Source organism: Homo sapiens, chromosome 14 (assembly GCF_000001405.40).
Source record: "Homo sapiens chromosome 14, GRCh38.p14 Primary Assembly".
Lineage (NCBI taxonomy): Eukaryota > Metazoa > Chordata > Mammalia > Primates > Hominidae > Homo > Homo sapiens.
Genome location: NC_000014.9, coordinates 53690780 through 53708702, shown reverse-complemented (window position 1 = coordinate 53708702; position 17923 = coordinate 53690780). Strand labels below are relative to the sequence as shown.

The 17923-nt window shown below is 38.5% G+C and overlaps 2 long non-coding RNA genes across 11 annotated transcripts in view; one reads left to right on the top strand and one right to left on the bottom strand.

Moving 5' to 3' along the window:
* Positions 1-17923, bottom strand: part of LOC105370504 (uncharacterized) — a 402142-nt gene that overhangs the window by 14091 nt on the left and 370128 nt on the right. The window lies entirely within an intron of this gene.
* LINC02331 (long intergenic non-protein coding RNA 2331) overlaps positions 1-17923 on the top strand; it is a 165830-nt gene that overhangs the window by 142124 nt on the left and 5783 nt on the right. For 4 of the 10 annotated variants that reach the window (NR_184220.1, NR_184217.1, NR_184215.1 and 1 more), the window contains one exon: positions 1406-1751. The exons of 5 other annotated variants lie outside the window; for them this stretch is intronic. This is a non-coding gene — a long non-coding RNA (long intergenic non-protein coding RNA 2331). Of the gene's footprint in view, positions 1-1405; positions 1752-5548; positions 5961-17923 lie in introns of those variants that run through there. One more of the 10 variants, NR_184213.1, reaches the window with a different exon arrangement.

Here is a 17923-nt window from a genome sequence, read left to right as displayed (position 1 = left end):
TAGCTCCAAATATTATGTCTGATGAGGCCGATTTGCTTAAAAGTCTATAACAAACTCACCTAGGGTAGCTGTTTGCAAAGGGAGGCAGGCCAATTTCCCTCATGGCCCACTTCTACTTTCACTGTCATCAAATCTATATCTAGAGTCAGATATCAGATGAACCCAGGAGAAAGCTTACGCACTAAAATAACTGCAAGTATGCATTTCAAAATGAATCTTACCATGTTAATCCATACAGCATGGCTCCCCTCAACCTGAAGACTCAGCAAGAAACCCTTTCATGGTTTCCTGTTGTGCTTAGAATAGACTTGAAGCCTTGGCAGCCCTGTGAAGTCTTGCACAGCACAGCCTCTGCCTTTATCTGCAGCCTCAACTTATACCACTCCCGTCCTTAGTCTTTTACCTCTAGTCACAATATCCTTTACATGTGCTTGTCCCTCCACCTGCGGCTCTCCTTGAATGCCTCATATCACCTATGAGGGTACGTTTCACTCTTTTTTCTTTTCCCTTTTTTTTGAGACAGAGTTTTGCTCTTGTTGCCTAGGCTGGAGTACAATGGCTCAATCTCGGCTCACTGCAACCTCCGCCTCCCAGGTTGAAGCGATTCTCCTGCCTCAGCCTCCTGAGTAGCTGGGATTACAGGCATGTGCCACCACGCCTGGCTAATTTTGTATTTTTAGTAGAGACAGGGTTTCTCCATGTTGGTCAGGCTGGTCTCGAACTCCTGACCTCAGGTGATCCACCCGCCTTGGCCTCCCAAAGTGCTGGGATTACAGGTATGAGCCACCGCGCCGGCTTTTTTTTTTTTTTTTTGAGATGGACTGTGGCTCTGTCACCAGTCACCAGGCTGGAGTGCAGTGGCATGATCTCGGCTCACTGCCACCTCTGCCTCCCGGGTTCAAGCGATTCCCCTGCCTCAGCCTCCCGAGTAGCTGGGACTACAGGCATGTGCCACCATGCCCAGCTAATTTTTTGTATTTTGGCAGGAGACGAGGTTTCACCATGTTGCCCAGGATGGTCTCCTTACCTTGCGATCTGCCTGCCTCGGCCTCCCAAAGTGCTGGGATTACAGGCGTAAGCCACTGTGCCCGGCCTTCACTCTTTTTTCAAATGTCAGTGTCCTCCGCATAATCTTTCCTCACTCCTTGTTCCTCCTCCCCAAATCTAGGTCAGGCTCCTGGCTGATATATTCTTATTGAACGATGCATGTTGCCTTCACTGCATTTATTTCTGTGTGCAATTATATTCTGGCTTTTTTGGTGATTATTGATTAAGGTTCATATCTCACCAGAAATTCTAAGTTCTATCAGAGAGCAGAGATCATGTTTGTTGTTTATCATCATGTCTTCAGCATTTAGCATGTGCCTATTGATTAAAAGGAGCAAACTTCTGTTTATTCTTGAAGATGGAGATGATGACTACTTCACAGGCACTTTGCAAGGTCTGATGACATTGACAATACATTGGACAAAGAGCAAAGGAAGAGGAGTCTGCAAAACAACAACAACAACAACAGAAAAAAACAAAATAAAACAAAGGGTCATCGGAAGAGTAACAGGAGAAAGAAGAGTTAATGTGTGGTGGAATCCTTGGGAAAGCATGAGTCAAGAAGTATAGTATACACAATTCAGATAACCAAGGGGTTACTTCCAAAAGGATGAATGTATTTGTAGGCAAGGCGCATGGAAATAAGGTATAGCTTGCATAAAAATCCAGAGTTTTGGTAATAAAATCTTTCTGCTGAGTTTTAATTTGGATTTGAATAAAAAGGAAAAGCCACATAAATTACATTATTGGGGAAGTATTAATACACTAAAACTCCCCAAGCAGATAGATAGTATTGATTATCTTTTTCACTTCAAAACTGTTACAGAGTTAGAATAAAGTAGAGATGAAGGATATTGGCAGGCCAGAGGCATAGCAAATACGTTCTTGAGCCATCTTGTAAACAATTTATTTATAGAAGGCAGAGTATAGAACGCATGGAATTACTATCTAATTTCTGACTATGATCAGAATCTTTAAGTATGAAACTATGTAAATCCAGTTAGATGGAAGGATAAAGGACTTCAAGGGTTCAATTCTACTGCCTGATGGGACCCTAAGATTAGTTCAGATTTTAAAAGAATATGTTATAATAATACTTTTAGATTGCCTTTTGACTTACAAAAAAGTCACATGTTTGTCTTCTTTTATCCCCACCATAATTCTGTGAGACAGAAGTTAGCTTGTGTATTTTAAAAGTAAGAAACTTACCAATCAGGGAGACGAAGTGAGTAAACAGATCAAGAGCTTGTCAGGGATAGAGTTTCTGAGAAGCAGCAGATGGAAGAGCCAGCATGAGAATATCCTAGATAAGTAAGAAGATGTGGACTCAAGGTCTGGATGAATACAATTGATAATTTCACTAATAATGAAAAGTAATTAATGCTAATGTTACAAGACATTCTCAGGTTGTTTCAGGATAAACCATGAGATTCAAAAGAATTATTCAACAATTTGAAAATTTCAGAACCACTTGTGTTTGTTGCCACCAATTCATATAAAAGAAAATCTTCAACAATGAGTTGATGTTCACCCTGGTCAAATACAAGCAAAACGCCAAGTTTAATACTGTCAGTAGATTGACTCATCTACAAGACAAAATACAATTCTGTAGATAACATATTTTTCCCCAACTTTTATTTTAAGTTCAGCGGTACATATGCAGGATGTGCCGGTTTGTTATGTAGGTAAACATGTGCCACGGTGGTTCATAGCGCAGATCATCTCCTCACCTAGGTATTAAACCTAGCATTCATTAGCTAATCTTCCTGATGCTGCAGATGATATATTGACATATTCTTCATGTTTACAACTAAAACTGTAATGGCACGTGTTTCTGTATTCCTGAAAAATGTCACTGCAGAGATTCCTTTTACTAACTTTTCATGCAGCAGGCACTCAGCAAGGTAAACAATGCAAAGCTTTATTGGTGTCTCAGCTACCATGTGTGTTCCTTCAGTCAATGCAACATGTAACTTAGCCTTTAAATACCTCAGTGGCTTTTTCACTTCTAGTTTGAAAAGTTATAACTTTTTTTGGTCTCTAAAGAGGTTATCTTGTCTATTTTTAAAATATCTAATTCCTGGCCGGGCGTGGTGGCTCATGCCTGTAATCCCAGCACTTTGGGAGGCCGAGTGGGCGGATCACTATGTCAGGAGATTGAGACCATCCTGGCTAACACGGTGAAACCCCGTCTCTACCAAAAATACAAAAATTAGCTGGGCATGGTGGCACATGCCTGTAATCCCAGCACTTAGGGAGGCCGAGGCGGGCGGATCACAAGTTCAGGAGATTGAGGCCATCCTGGCTAACATGGTGAAACCCCGTCTCTACCAAAAATACAAAAATTAGCTGGGCATGGTGGCACATGCCTGTAATCCCAGCTACTCAGGAGGCTGAGGCAGGAGAATCGCTTGAACCCAGGAGGTGGAGGTTGCAGTGAGTCAAGATCGCGGCACTGCACTCCAGCCTGGTAGACAGAGCCAGACTCTGTCAAAAAAAAAAAAAAGAAAAAAAAATTCCAATTCCCCCTCCCCCTCCTTCTTATTTAATTCAAAATGATGCTGTAACTTAATTGGCACCATAATACTATTCTGAAAGGTTCTGTTGCACAAAACACACAAAAAAAAGTAAATTCTTTTTTTTCTTTTTATACTTACAGTGGTCTGTAGTAAATTATTAGCATCTATAAAGACAGGAAAGACAGCTTATCATATTTTATTTCTTATTTACAGTTTTACTGGTTTTCTTGGTGTCTATTCCTTCCTTCCATGAGTCAAGAGAACCCTAGGATATGACAGTTTCATCTTTTTCAACATATTGAGACATAGGTGGTATAACCATGGGTTGAGAAAGTGAGTCTTTTAGTTTAACTCACTAATCTACCACTAAATATAGATTTACTTATAGTATGTCATTCATTCAGTTTAAAATAAGATCTTATAAAATTCTAAAATATCAGTTTTATATAAGATTTTTAAATTTAGAAAATGTTACAAAAACAACTCAAAAGTACTATTACCATCTAAGACAACAAAGTTTATTCTTGATGTGTTTCTGCATACAAAGAAAACTTCAGGATTTCAAAATAACAATTTATTGGATCATAATGAGGATACAGAGATCATAGCCAAAGAAGTATCATAACAGCGTAGAAGAAATACTGAGAAAAAATAGTTAATATTTGAAAATGCACATACACCTTGAACCCACTCCTTTAGAAAATCCTAGAAAACACAAGAATATCAAAGCTTTATTCCACTGCTGTCAAAGTGATGACATACCATGCCATGTATTCTTTGAAAAATTCTGCCCTGCACTCACGAGAGAATGAGAGTGAAACGCAAATAACATCTCAGTGTTCCTATGAAAATAGTTTTGACGTGGTTTACCCCTCAAAAAGTCTCAGGAACCCAGATCACATTTTGAGAACCACTACTTAAACTCTAGATCACACAGTTTCACATGTATTTTGGGCAAAATTTTGGAATATCTTGGAGCCCCTAACATTGTTTCTTCCAGTAACCTTTAATAAAGACACATATCCAAGTGTCCATACACTCTAATGGAGGTGGTTTTGTGAGAAACTGATGAAATTATCTTCTGTCTAATGTGTCTCTTGGAGGAGATTTGGGACACTCAGATTACTGGTTCAAAACCAGATCTATGAAACCATCTTCCCAAAATAACACTGTTCTCCTTCATGCTTTGGATAGAAATTGATCATCAGTGTTTTCTAGGGAACATGTGGCAGTGGCATGCAGGTATCACATGTAATGACAAGTGTTATTTATACCTATCAAAGCAAATGTCTTTAAAAGGAAATTGTCTCTCCAATTATTGGAGTTTTACAATTTTCATTAAAAGGAAATTGTCTCTCCAAATCTTGAGTTTTACAATTTCCATTATCTTATAAATTTTGTAGCTTTAATATTTGCTTATCTGCCTGCCCCTGACATTCCTGAGCTATAATAATCAGGAAAGCTCAACAGACCTGTGCCAAGGTTCACCTAACCTAGTACCTAACCTCATGTTTGTTTTACATGCATAAGACAATTCTGGGAAGATTAAAGTGTAAATTCCTAGTGGAGAATTTGAGTGGCCATTTTAATTATTTAATTAATTAATTTTGGTCCAGCACTCTTGTCTGATATTTTCTTCAGGTGACAGACTACACTTTTGAGAAACAATGGTGTTTTTCTTGTGCACCTCTGACTTGAATATACCAATCTGAACCGCTGCCAGTGGAGAATCTAACCACCTTCAAAATGATATCACTTTCATTCAATAATAAACATACCCAAGATTTGATGCTTAGCCTCCCGTAGCTCTTCTTCTGAGTACTTGTTCTGAATGATGCTATCGTTTTGTCTAAATTCAAAATCAATCTCAGTTTTCGTGATAGTTTGATTTCTATTATAATATTTCAACATTTTTAGATTGTGATTTTATATGACCTAGCTTGAGAAGGATTAATGCCTAAATAAATCTCTTACACTTTCAGCTTTCCTGAAATCCCACGTAACCCACAATAGCTCTCAAAAGCTTCAAAAAATAGTGATGAAAAAGGTTAACTCTGATGCTGTTCTGGAGCTGAAAGCAGATTTTGACCTTGGATAAACATGCTGGATTTTCGCTATTGAATGTATTGGGCACAATTCAAGGTACACAGTCATTCCAGAATGTACTTGATAAAAATAAGAAATTTGCATGTCTTAGAGGGACATGGACACATTCTTTATACTCAGTTGCAGACTGGTTGTTTTAAAAAATTAAGTGTTAACAATTTGCTTACAGTTCTTGCTCATATATGGTAACTCGAAAATTGTCAGTGCTGAGTTTAGCTGGAAAACTCCTGGAAGTGTCAACCCATTCTCAAAATAAATGGTTTTCACAGCTATGATTTTATACAAAAATTTTGAGCGGTTTAGAGTATCAATCCTTTTCATTACCATTGTGCTTCATTTAAATTAAATTTTCAAGAGAGTTAATGTGCCGACATGCTATTGTCAAACTGAACAACAACAAAAAACAAACCCCAGTCCCTTGAATAGAATTTATTTCAAGATTGTTTTGAAATAGTTTTCCACTTTAAGGTATGTGAACTACAGAATTTGTATTTTTATTTAGTCAAAAACATGTGGTTGTTGAAATACTCCTTAATTTATTTTATTGGCTATATTGATTTTCTCACTTTAAAACATCTAATAACAATTACTCACTGTTTGTGCTGGAACATTATGAACACCAACAAGGACATTTCCCTTAAAAAGTAATGGTGTCCTAATGTATGTTACAGGTTGATGGGTGCAGCAAACCACCATGGCACGTGTATTCCTATGTAACAAACCTCCACATTCTGCACATGTATCCCAGAACTTAAAGTATTTTAAAAAAAAAAGTATGGCCGCTCACAGTGGCTCACTCTTGTAATCCCAGCACTTTGGAAGGCCGAGGCGGACGGATCACGAGGTCAGGAGATGGAGACATTCCTGGCTAACACAGTGAAACCCCGTCTCTACTAAAAATACAAAAAATTAGCCAGGCGTGGTGGCGGGCGCCTGTAGTCCCAGCTACTCGGAAGGCTGAGGCAGGGGAATAGCTTGAACCCGGGAGGCGGAGCTTGCAGTGAGTCGAGATGGCACCACTGCACTCCAGCCTGGGTGACAGAGCGAGACTCCGTCTCAGAAAAAAAAAAAAAAAAAAAAAAAAAAAAAAAGTAATGGTGTCTGAAAAAGGAGGAAAGCTTGTCATAAAGACTAGGTTCTGGTGCCAAAATAGAGAATAAAAAAGTAGAGTCCATTTGTTGAGTGGTAACCATAATGAAGTCAGTCTTAGACATACTGCTACTGAGACAGCTCTACAACACACAGGAGTAAAGGTCCAATGGGCCATAGGAAGTCAGAACTCAAGCTCAGAAATGAGTCTGGACTGGATGTATATATTTGAGGACTGGGCTAGAGATGATTACTATGTATAGCTTGCTCACACCACCAACACCTCCCACAGCTCCTGACCCTGTTGATGAGATTCTGAGGGAGGAGATGTCCCAGGGTGACAAACTTACAAACACACCTGTTACCTATTTTTCATGGCTTAGTTCCAATAGAGCTATTTTAACCAAATTCTCCCTGTCAATTAAATTTGAATTAAGAAACAAGAAATACAAAATGTGTTTACCCATTGGAAGAGAAAGTTCAAGGGAAGATGTCATGAGACAGAATCAAGGCTCGCAGGGCTGTGACAAACCAAAACCACACGTGAACCAAAGTCATAAGTGAGAAGAACTCAATTAACTAGAGAAAGCCCAACGAAGGCAGAACAGAAACAAGGGAATCTACTAAATGTGGCTGAACCTTGTCAACAAAAGAATGATCCTGTGAAAATGATTGTAAGAAATAAGAAAAACCCAAAAGTGGTTTTTCCTTTTGTCTTACACAGTCATACTCATCACACTTCTGACATCAACTGTGACAAAGAAAGAACCAGTGTTTTTCCTACTCTATATCTCAATATAGATCACCTCTTGTCATCAAAATGAGTGAAGATTTCTTCTCACCAACAACCAATTCTGTGGCAGACCCTCCAGCAGACATCAGCTAAGTGTCCTCTAATTCAATTCAACTCTGGCACTATTTACCTGGAGATAGCAGCTGATCCCACGGGTTAAGGGCTTAGTCCCCTGTGGCTGCCTCCTACTTCAGGTCCCACTTGCAGGCACAGGTTTCCACCTGTACTTCTGACCAACCAGCTATAAGTCAGGTTCCACAGACCCCCTTCTTGGGTTCAATTAATTTGCTAGAGTCTCACAGAACTCAGGAGAACACTTTGCCAATATTAACCCATTCATTAGAGAGAATATTACAAAGGATATAAACGAACAGCCAGATGAAAGAGGTGCTCATTGTGAGGTATGGGAGAAGAGGCAAGGAACTTCCATGCCCTCTCCAGGTGTGCCACCCTCCAGGAGCCTCGACATGTTCATCTCTCTGGAAGCTCAACTGAATCCTGTTCTTTTGGGTTTTTATGAAGGTCTCATTACTTAGCTATGAATGATTATATCATTGGTCATTGGTGTCAATTCGACCTTCAACCCCTTGGAGAGTGGAGCTGAAAGTCCCAACCCTCTAATAATGCCTTAGTCTTTCCAGTGACCAGCCCTCATCCTAAAGCTACCTAGGGGGTCCAAGCCACCAGTCATCTCATTAGTATACAAAAAACACTCATCACCTTAGAGATTCCAAGGATTTTAGGAGCTGTGTGCCAGGAAACAGGGACAAATGCAGATTTTACAGTTCACAAGGATGAACTCAACAATAGTGTCCACAGGTCACATTGGCTCCAGAACCATAGTTCAGTTTCATGATTGTGGATTTAGCTCTATGATGGGTCATGATTTCATCTTCATAGGGTACATACTCCTACTCATTTCAGATACATCTTTGGCTTAATCATTCACTCAACAAACATTCTTCAGCATTTACTATGTGTAAGGTGCTTTGAAGATCAAGAAAGAAAAGGGCATAGTCATTGCCTTCAATGATGCAATCTAATAGGGCAGATAAAACGTAAAAGTGATTATATGAGTTAGCCAAAGTGCTATAGAAATGAAAAGGAAAATACATGTATTTCCAACTAGTAGGAAGAGACATGTCTTCATGAATTCAAACACATTTGACCTGAGCATTGAAGGACATTGAAGGATTAGTAGAATTTGAACTTGCCAGGGAAGGGTGAGAAAGAATTAAGATGGAAGCAAAAGCATGAAGAAATCCTTGGAGACAGAGACCTGGGGCATGTGCTGGAATGACAGGTTGACTGTGGACCAGTTCTTTAACTGTGTAAGAATTCCGGATCCTTCTGTCAGCAAAACAAGGGCAAGAATGGTATCTTGGGTATCTTCTTGGAAATCACTTTTTGTTTTCCAAAATTAGGAGCCATATATTAGTTTTACATATTTCCCACAGGGAAGAAAAGGATACCTTTCCCTAAATTGTTCATCAGTGGTGAGTGTAAGTGTGTACATGTGTTCTTCTTATTAACAAACTATAAAATTAGACATCAAATTATTAATTAAATTTATAAATGGTCACCAGTACTCACACAAAGTAAACAGATTCAGTTATTTGACCCTGGCCACTTTTGCCGACTTGAGCTCATCACACAATTTGTATGCTGAATACATGAAAGCTTTCTGCAAAACCACAGGCAGAGCAGTCAAATCAGCTATGGCCAACAACCACTAGATACCTCCTACTCAAAGTTTTCTTGCATGTTCTCTGAGCAAATGTGTTATCTGAGAGTAAAGATTAATTTAGATGAAGACTTTAAAAATATACCTAGCTATATTCTCTGCTAAGGAATGCAACAAGAAATTTCATGCATGTCCCCAAATACAGGAGTTGAAAAATACAAAATAGAAATATCTACACTTATCCATACAAACATGCATAGCAATTTACTCAAAAATACAAGCAATGACTTAAGATCAAGGATTAACAAGTAGATATTTTTTACTGATGTTTCCCTACTAAGTCCCCATAATTTTTTGCCACAGGGAAGAGATAGCCCAGAGGTGTTTTATGGCAGTCAGGTTCACTCCTGATCTGTTATTACTGTTGTCAACCAGAATATCTTTTCTGGTGGGAGATGATGATAGTAAGCAATCTGGAAAACACATGAATTTGACTGTTACCCCCTTGTATTAGTTCGTTCTTACAGTATGATAAAGATACTACCTGAGACAGGGTAATTTACAAACAAAAGAGGTTTAATTGACCAACAGCTCACAGGTCCGCGTGTCTGGAGGGGCCTCAGTAAACGTACAATCATGGCGGAAGGTGAAAGAGAAGCCAGGCACATGTTACATGATGGCAGGAGAGAGAGAGAGAGAAAGGGGAAGCCCCAAACACTTATCAAACAACCAGATCTCGTGAGAATTCACTCACTATCACAAGAACAGCATGAGGGAAATTGTCCCATGATCCATTCACCTCCCACCAGGTTCCTCCCTCAACACGTAGAGATTACAATGTGTATTACAACTTGAGATGAGATTTGGAAGGGGGCACAGCCAAACTATATTACCCCCAAACTTAGTAGATGTTAGGGTTGATATACTTTGAAACACAAGGAAGCTTTTTTTAGTCAAGGCATTTCTGGGGATTCATTAGCTGAGATTCATGTGTTGAAACAGCCAAAGGGAGTACTCCCCAGGGGAGTGAATTATGCTTCAATCCATTCTTCACAGTCCACCACCTTGCCCTGCTTAAACCAGCATTGGCTTCCACATTTCTTTTTAATTTTTAAGTTGAAAATAGAATGCTGAGAATAATGTAAAGTAATATCCAAGTTTAACAAATATAAAGATAAAGCCTGTGTTTCTAGTATCTGATCATGAAATAGGACATTATCAGTTCAGCACCCTGGAAACTCCCCTTGAAACCCTCCCTTATCATAACTCTCTTTTGTTAAGTAACCACTACCTTATCTTCTGTGAGGGTATTTCCTTCCAAATTCTCCCAAAATATTTCCTCCCAAATGCTAATTTTTGTAAACTTGACCATTCACATACGCCTCCCTAAACAATACTGCTGAGTTTTGGATGAATTAAAGTTTACAGAAATGGTAGCACACTAAGTCTCTTTATGTTTCTGGGTCTTTTCGCTCAGCATTATGTTCTTAAATGCTTTCATTTTGTTGCAGGTAGATGCAGTTCATTCATTTCCATTGTGTTCATATACCAAAATAAATGATCTATCCTAATTATCTATTCCATTAGTATTGGATGTTTGGGTTATTTCTAGTTTGGGGGTACTACTAAGAATTGGTGCTATGAAGACTCTTGTCTGGAAACCTTGGCACAAATGTGCTTACATGGCTCTGGAGGATATACCTGAATGTGAGATTGCTGAGTCACAGAGAATGTATGTTACATTCAACTCTATTAGACAACACCAAACTATGTTTCAAAGTGATGGCACCCACTGATACACCTACAAGCAAAGAATGAGAATTCTAGTTGCTTCATATCCTCATCAATGCTTGATATTTTCAGATTTTTTAATTGTTGCAAGTATATCTCTTCTTGGGCCACCAGTTACTGATTTTTCTACTGCTTTTGGAGGACTTGCCAGAATACACAGACAAGGATTTAGAGATTTGGGGTGACCTTCTGAAGTAGAATGATTTGGTATATTTCCCCTGTTTTCTTATTTAACATCATATTCTAACCATCAAAGCAAATTTTGATCATGAGCTTCAGTGGTATTATATAAACTTATAAAAAGAGTAAGACAATCAAGGAGAGAAGTGGAGAATACATTGTGCTTCCAGGAAACCCTGTGAAACAATACTAGTATTTTGTTCTTTTTTAAAAGTCCTGTCATTACTTACTCGATACTATTTGGCTGTGTCCTCACCTAAATCTCATCTTGAATTGTAGTTCCCATAATCCCCACGTGTCATAGGAGGGATCCGGTGGGAGGTAATTGAATCTTGGGGGTGTTTACCCCCATGCTGCTGTTCTTGTGATAGTGAGTGAGTTCTCCTGAGATCTGATGGTTTTATAAAGGGCTTTTCCCCCCTTGCCTGCCACCATGTGAAGAAGGACACGTTTGCTTCCCCTTCTGCCATGATTGTGAGGCTTTCCCAGCCATGTGAAACTGTGAGGCCCTTACACCTATTTTTCTTTATAAATTACTCAGCCTTGGGTGTGTCTTTATTAGTAGTTGAGAATAGAAGTATACAATACTTCAGTGATTTAGGCTGGAGTTGGCCAAGAGGTATCTAGCTATAACAAACCTGCATTTTCTTGAGGACCTACTTGCTCCCCACCTGCCTACTCCTGTGATTCACTAAGAAATGGCACCATATACAGAAAACACCCCAGGGCAGCATGCTCAGACTACACAGTGACTAAGAGAAATGGCCACTTCACTTTTACTCAATGGTGGAATTTGTTGGGAAGTATGGGGAGCTGGATGAATACTAAAAAGGAGAGATGCTGGTGAACCGAGGTGAGGATCATTGGTTGGGTGTAGCATATGAGGTTTGAGTGAAGGTGACAAGTCAGGAGGGGACAATAGGTCAATGGAACCATGAAGAAAAGGTTACTCTGCAAGTTGAAGGTGGCTTAGAGGACCAAAAGCACTTTCAAAAAACATGCAGACTGCTGATTCACACTCACTGCATTTCACTAAGATTTTTAGAGAGCTGTCCAAATGTTTCAACACCTGCTTCACATGAGGGAAAATCCTGTTGTAAACAATAGTGAGTCATCACCCAGGGCCTGCGAGAAAGGTGCTCTTGGGGTATATGCACATTTGCTCCAGGTTCCCTTTGATGGACAGTGACTGAAAATAGAATCTAACCTTCTTTGCCCCAGAAATGTTTGCCGAAAAAGGGAAAATTGTAGGTGAAAAAAAAAAAAATAACAGGACACGTATTATATACCTAAGCACATAAATAAATCTATCCCTTATGTATTTGTGTAGCTGGAAAACATGATAATTACATTTCCAAATGGTTATTGAATCCCCTGCAAATGTATACTTAAAAAGTCATAGCAATGAACAGAGACTGGATGGCTCATTAGTTGTGAGAAATAAAGGCATTCCATTTACATCACCTATTCCAAGGAGAATGAGGCCAGAAGCAACTTGACTGAATAGCAAAAAGGCATCCTTTGTGAATAGGTGAGATCACAAAACACAGATTGCAATGTTTAGTATTATTATCCACTTACTCACTCTTTCAGCCAGTGGTTACTAAGTGTTATGTGACAAGTGCGTTGATACGATAAAAGCTGGAAATACTAAGATGACAAAACATTGCCCCCTCATATAGGGAAAGAGAAGCAGATTAGCCTAAATTTAACACAATATCATGAAGGCTGAAAATGTATAAGAAGCTATACAGAGGAGAAAAAAATATAAACTAAAGTTATTTGTAATAATGCCTTATATTTGAATAGCTCTAAATGATTGGGCCAAAATAGCAGCTTGGTGAAAACTATGCTAGATGGCCCAGTACTTTAATCAAAATGACAACTTAGTTAAAGAAATAATAATTATTAATGTTTTAAATAATGGCAATGTTGTTGCACCAAGGGTTTGTTTGCAGTTCTTTATATAGATTTTTAATATTTTTGCCCATTTTCAGAGCTTTTCCTTCAGTCTTTTAAATTTCTAATTTATTTTAGACAACTCCTTTAAAAAGTAAGCTTCATGAGGTCAGGACATATCTCCTTTTTGTTTACAATTTTATTTCTGATACTTATTGCAGTTCCTGACATATAGTAGTTTTTCAGTGTATTTAGTTAAGGAGTGAATGAGGCCGGGCGTGGTGGCTCACTCCTGTAATCTCAGCACTTTTGCAGGCCAAGGCAGGCAGATCATGAGATCAGGAGTTCGAGACCAGCCTGACCAACATGGTGAAACCCTGTCTCTACTAAAAATACAAAAATTAGCCAGGTGTGGTGGCGTTTGCCTGTAATCCCAGCTACTCAGGAGGCTAAGGCAGGAGAATTGTTTGAACCTGAGAGGCAGAATTTGCAACGAGCCAAGATCGCACCACTGTTCTCCAGTCTGGGCGACAGAGCGAGACTCCGTCTCAAAAAAGTAGTGAATGAATAATTTCACTATGCACAATTTATAAGCAGTAGGAGTTCATATCTTCTAGCGCAGCTGTTTCAGGCACATTCCTCACTTCCAACTGATATGTGTGATACTGCACTTTTGGGATCTTTGTAGGATATCCTAGAAATTCAGTTCCAAGCCCCAAGCAACTCATTTTCAGGACATTAGGACATTTGATGGTTCCATTCATCCTGTGTATACAACCTACCCATGCACTGTATGCTTTTTAAGATCTCTACCATGTTGTGTATATGGCCACATCAGTTGTCTCCAGGGAAGGGAACTGGATGTTTGGAGGACAAGAGTGGGAGGGAGATTTTCTTTGTTTTACTGTATACTGTTTAAAATAGTTTGACTGTTGTACCATGTGATTCTATTACATTTGTTTAAAAATGAATTTTTAAAAATGTGCTTCCATGAGCACTGTGATCTTTTGCTAAATTTGTGTTGTCTTTCAGGGAATTCCAACAGATAACCTACATATGCACTCAATACTAGACTTCACTGAGATCATTTTAAGTTAATGTTTCTTTCTCTTTTTTTTTTTTTTTTTTTTTTTTTTTTTTTTTTGAGTCAGAGTTTGCTCTGTCGCCCAGGCTGAAGTGCAATGGCACAATCCGGCTCACTGCAACCTCCACCTCCACCTCCCAGGTTCAAGCAACTCTCCTGCCTCAGCCTCCTGAGTAGCTAAACAATTTGTTGTTCAAAATAATGTCATCACTGCACAAGTTTTGAAGTGATTTGAATATAATACAATTCCCTCTTTCCTGAGTGGTAATTTTGGGAAAAATTCACTTTGTGTTTGACATATTTACCAATCTGTGGCCAATGCAGACTAATCATTAATCGTAATGCATGCAAATATCCTGCTTTGGCCATTGAAAACGTTGAAACAGATAATAAAATGCATCTACCCTTGTGTAATGAAAGTGATAGAATAATATGGCCATTTGATCAATTTTCGATCTCTTCCCTAGTCTGATAGGCCAAACTGATGAACATGCCAAGGAAGTACCATTTTAAACATCCCTTTTTATTTATTTGATCATATACCACAGCTCAGATATAGAACATCCATACAGAATAGAGACATTTTAAAGGCTATGAAAGCTTTATTAAGTCATAGTTTCTCTTTCAATGGTACTTTTCCTTCCTAAAAATTTTTAGGATCCAGCTAATGAATTAGGTGACCTACAGAGGCTTTTACATTTTAAAATACCCAGTCCATCAAGAAATAACAGGACACTCAATGACTACTGTGGTCTCAGCTCAAAAAGATCTCCTCCACCTGAACTATGTGCTCTCTCTGCTATTTTCTGGCTCTCTCCCCTATAATTCATACAGAGAATGCGTTTAGTGGTAGGAACGATTGCCAACTTTTTAACCAAATTTGCTCTCATTGCTAGACAAAGTGCTTGATGCCTTTTTTTGGTTTGAAAGTAAATGACATTCAGACACAGTTGCCTATTGATAGAGGAAGCCTTAGCTACAAAAGAATTGCTGTGTCCAATTACCGACTCAAATAAAGAAAAATAGAGAGCAAATGAAAAGTCACCTTAAAATGTGATTCAGACAAAGAATAATAAACAGTGCCATTATGCTCCTTTTAAAGAAATACACAAATGTGTTCAATATGCCTCTATTAGCACAATATAGTCTCAGATTTCAAATATACTTTCTAGTTCTTATGGGGCAAATGCCAAGCTCTCAATGAATCTATCTCCAAGAATTATATTTTTGTGTGTTTTTACTCCAGTGTGCCCTCAGAAAACATCAACTGGTTCCAAACCCCACTAATCCCATGGAAAATTGCTCAGGGCAAAACCATTACTAAAGCTCTCAAAAAGTCAGAGCTCACCAGCTGTGTGCCAAAGCCCCCTCCTCAGTGTTTACCTTAGAGTACCAGCTGCCCCAAGAGGCACAGCATTCTGCATATGGAGAGGAAGCCACAGTCACAGTTCCAATATTCCTGAGCTGCCACTGGGTGATTTAGAGACACCCTCATACATATGATGTCATGCACTCATTTTTAAAATGTGACTTAGATCTGAGGCAATACATTATTTGCAATTTTATGTATCAGTAATGCCAGTTTACAAGGATGGTTTACTGTCCGTATATGTAGGCCAGGAAGTGGTGGTGTTGAGCCTGGAGGATTGGAAAAATAAGCCCAAGTGACTGGAGTGTGAGAGGGCAGTAGCATGACTTAACCCTTAGAAATCATGAAAAGATTCTGAACTTTATCTAAGGGTAATGGAAAAGCAGAGTGACAGAACACTTGGGTTTTAGGATTTCCCAGGATTCAGCGAGGAGAGGTGAGAGTTACTCCACAACACTTTCAGGCATTGAGTTGACTTGGGTAGTGCTGGCGAGTTCTCAGCCCTCGCTACTTGTTAAATTCCCATCCCCACACCAGCTGTGTGAAAAGTAAAGCGATAGCTTCAGCATCTTTTCTCCTGCACAAAGGATCTACAGATGTCAACACTAGACAAGAGTCTGTTAGTACTTCTGTTTTACTTTATTGTTTTCGTGGTTAATAAACTATATGATAAACTGTGCCATAAGCTGACTATGGAAAGTCTCAGTTGAAAAGAGTTCCCTGATTTAAATAAAAAAATTCCATTTGGGCTGGATTTAAATCTCAAGAGGCCAGAGTTCTGTAAAATGAAATTTGTTGCAGCATATTTCACAGAGGGTTAATATAACTCACTGACATCATACATTTTATGTAGCCTTTAATGTAGCAATTCTCCACTGTAAAAATAGCCTTAATGAGAAGGTTAAAATAGTTTGAAATTGTTCATTCTAAGGGAGGAGTATAGCTGGATTTACTTTTTGAAGAACCAACACCCCACTACGAAGAAAACGAAATAAAGTCAGAATGATAGCCACGCAGCATGGGAGATTTAAATATGCTATAGGGTTGTAGATTCTTTGTTTGCTTGTTTGATTTTTAATAATAAACACATTATTCCATATGGTTAGTACAGAGAGGACTTCGTCTTCTCTTTCCCACAAAAATCCCCTCCGTTTAGCAGTTTACAACTGACTTGCTGGTTTCCAATGTACAGAATTAGAATCAGCAAAGGATCAAATGTAAGGTTCTGAACTGGTTGGAGAGATTTCTCTAATACTTTCAAAATTAGATATAATTTACATACAGTAAAATTCACCCTTTCTAATGTACACTAGTGTAAAGTTCATATGGTTGTGTAACCATTACCACCACCACAATAAAAATATCATCCCCTAAATTCCCTCATACGCTGGTTAGTCAACTACACATCCTGCTCCAGACCTTACCAGCTACTGGTCTGTTTTCTGATCTTGTAGCTTAGCTTATTCCAGAATGCCATATAAATGGGATTATAGAGTGTGTAGCCTTTGAGCCTGGCCTCATTCATTTCCATAATGCATTCGAGATTCATCTGTGTTGTTGCACGTGTCATTACTTCATCTGGTTTTTTTGCTGAATGGTCTTCCATTGCACAGGTGCACTGCAGTATGTTTATCCATTACTCGGATGAAGGATGTTTGTGTTGTTTGCACCTTGGGGTGATTTAGAATAAAGTTGCTGGAGACATTTGTGTACAGATTTTTTGTGTGAATATAGCTTTTTATTTCACTAGGGTAAATACAAATGGAATTACTGAATTTTATTGTAAATATAGGTTTAATTTTAAAATAAACTGTCAAATTGTTTAGCAAAGTAGCTGCACTTTGCATTCTCACCAGCAATGTACGAGAGAATGGCAGTTGCTCCACAGCCAAACTAAATGTCAGTATTCTCAGAGATTTTTATTTTAGCCATTTTGATGAGGATGTAAATATAGTATCATGTGATTTTAATTTTCATTTCACTAATGACTAATGATGTTGATCATCTATTCATGTTCTTGTTTATCAACATATATTTTTGGTGATTTATCAGTTCAAACCTTTTGCCCATTTTTTTTTCATTGGATTGTTTGGATTCTTGAGTTTTAGGAGTTACTTATATATACTGGATACAAGTACTTTAACAGATATGTGCTTTTAGAATATCTTCTATTATTTTTGTGGCTTCTCTTTTTATTCTCTTAAGAGTGTCTTTCAAAGAGCTGAAGTGTATAATTTTGCTAAAGTCCAGTTTATTAATTATTTTTTCATTTAATGATCATGTTTTCATCTATAAGAAATCTTTGCATAATCCAAGGGCACAAAACTTTTCTCCAATGTTTTCTTATGGAAGTTTGAAAGTT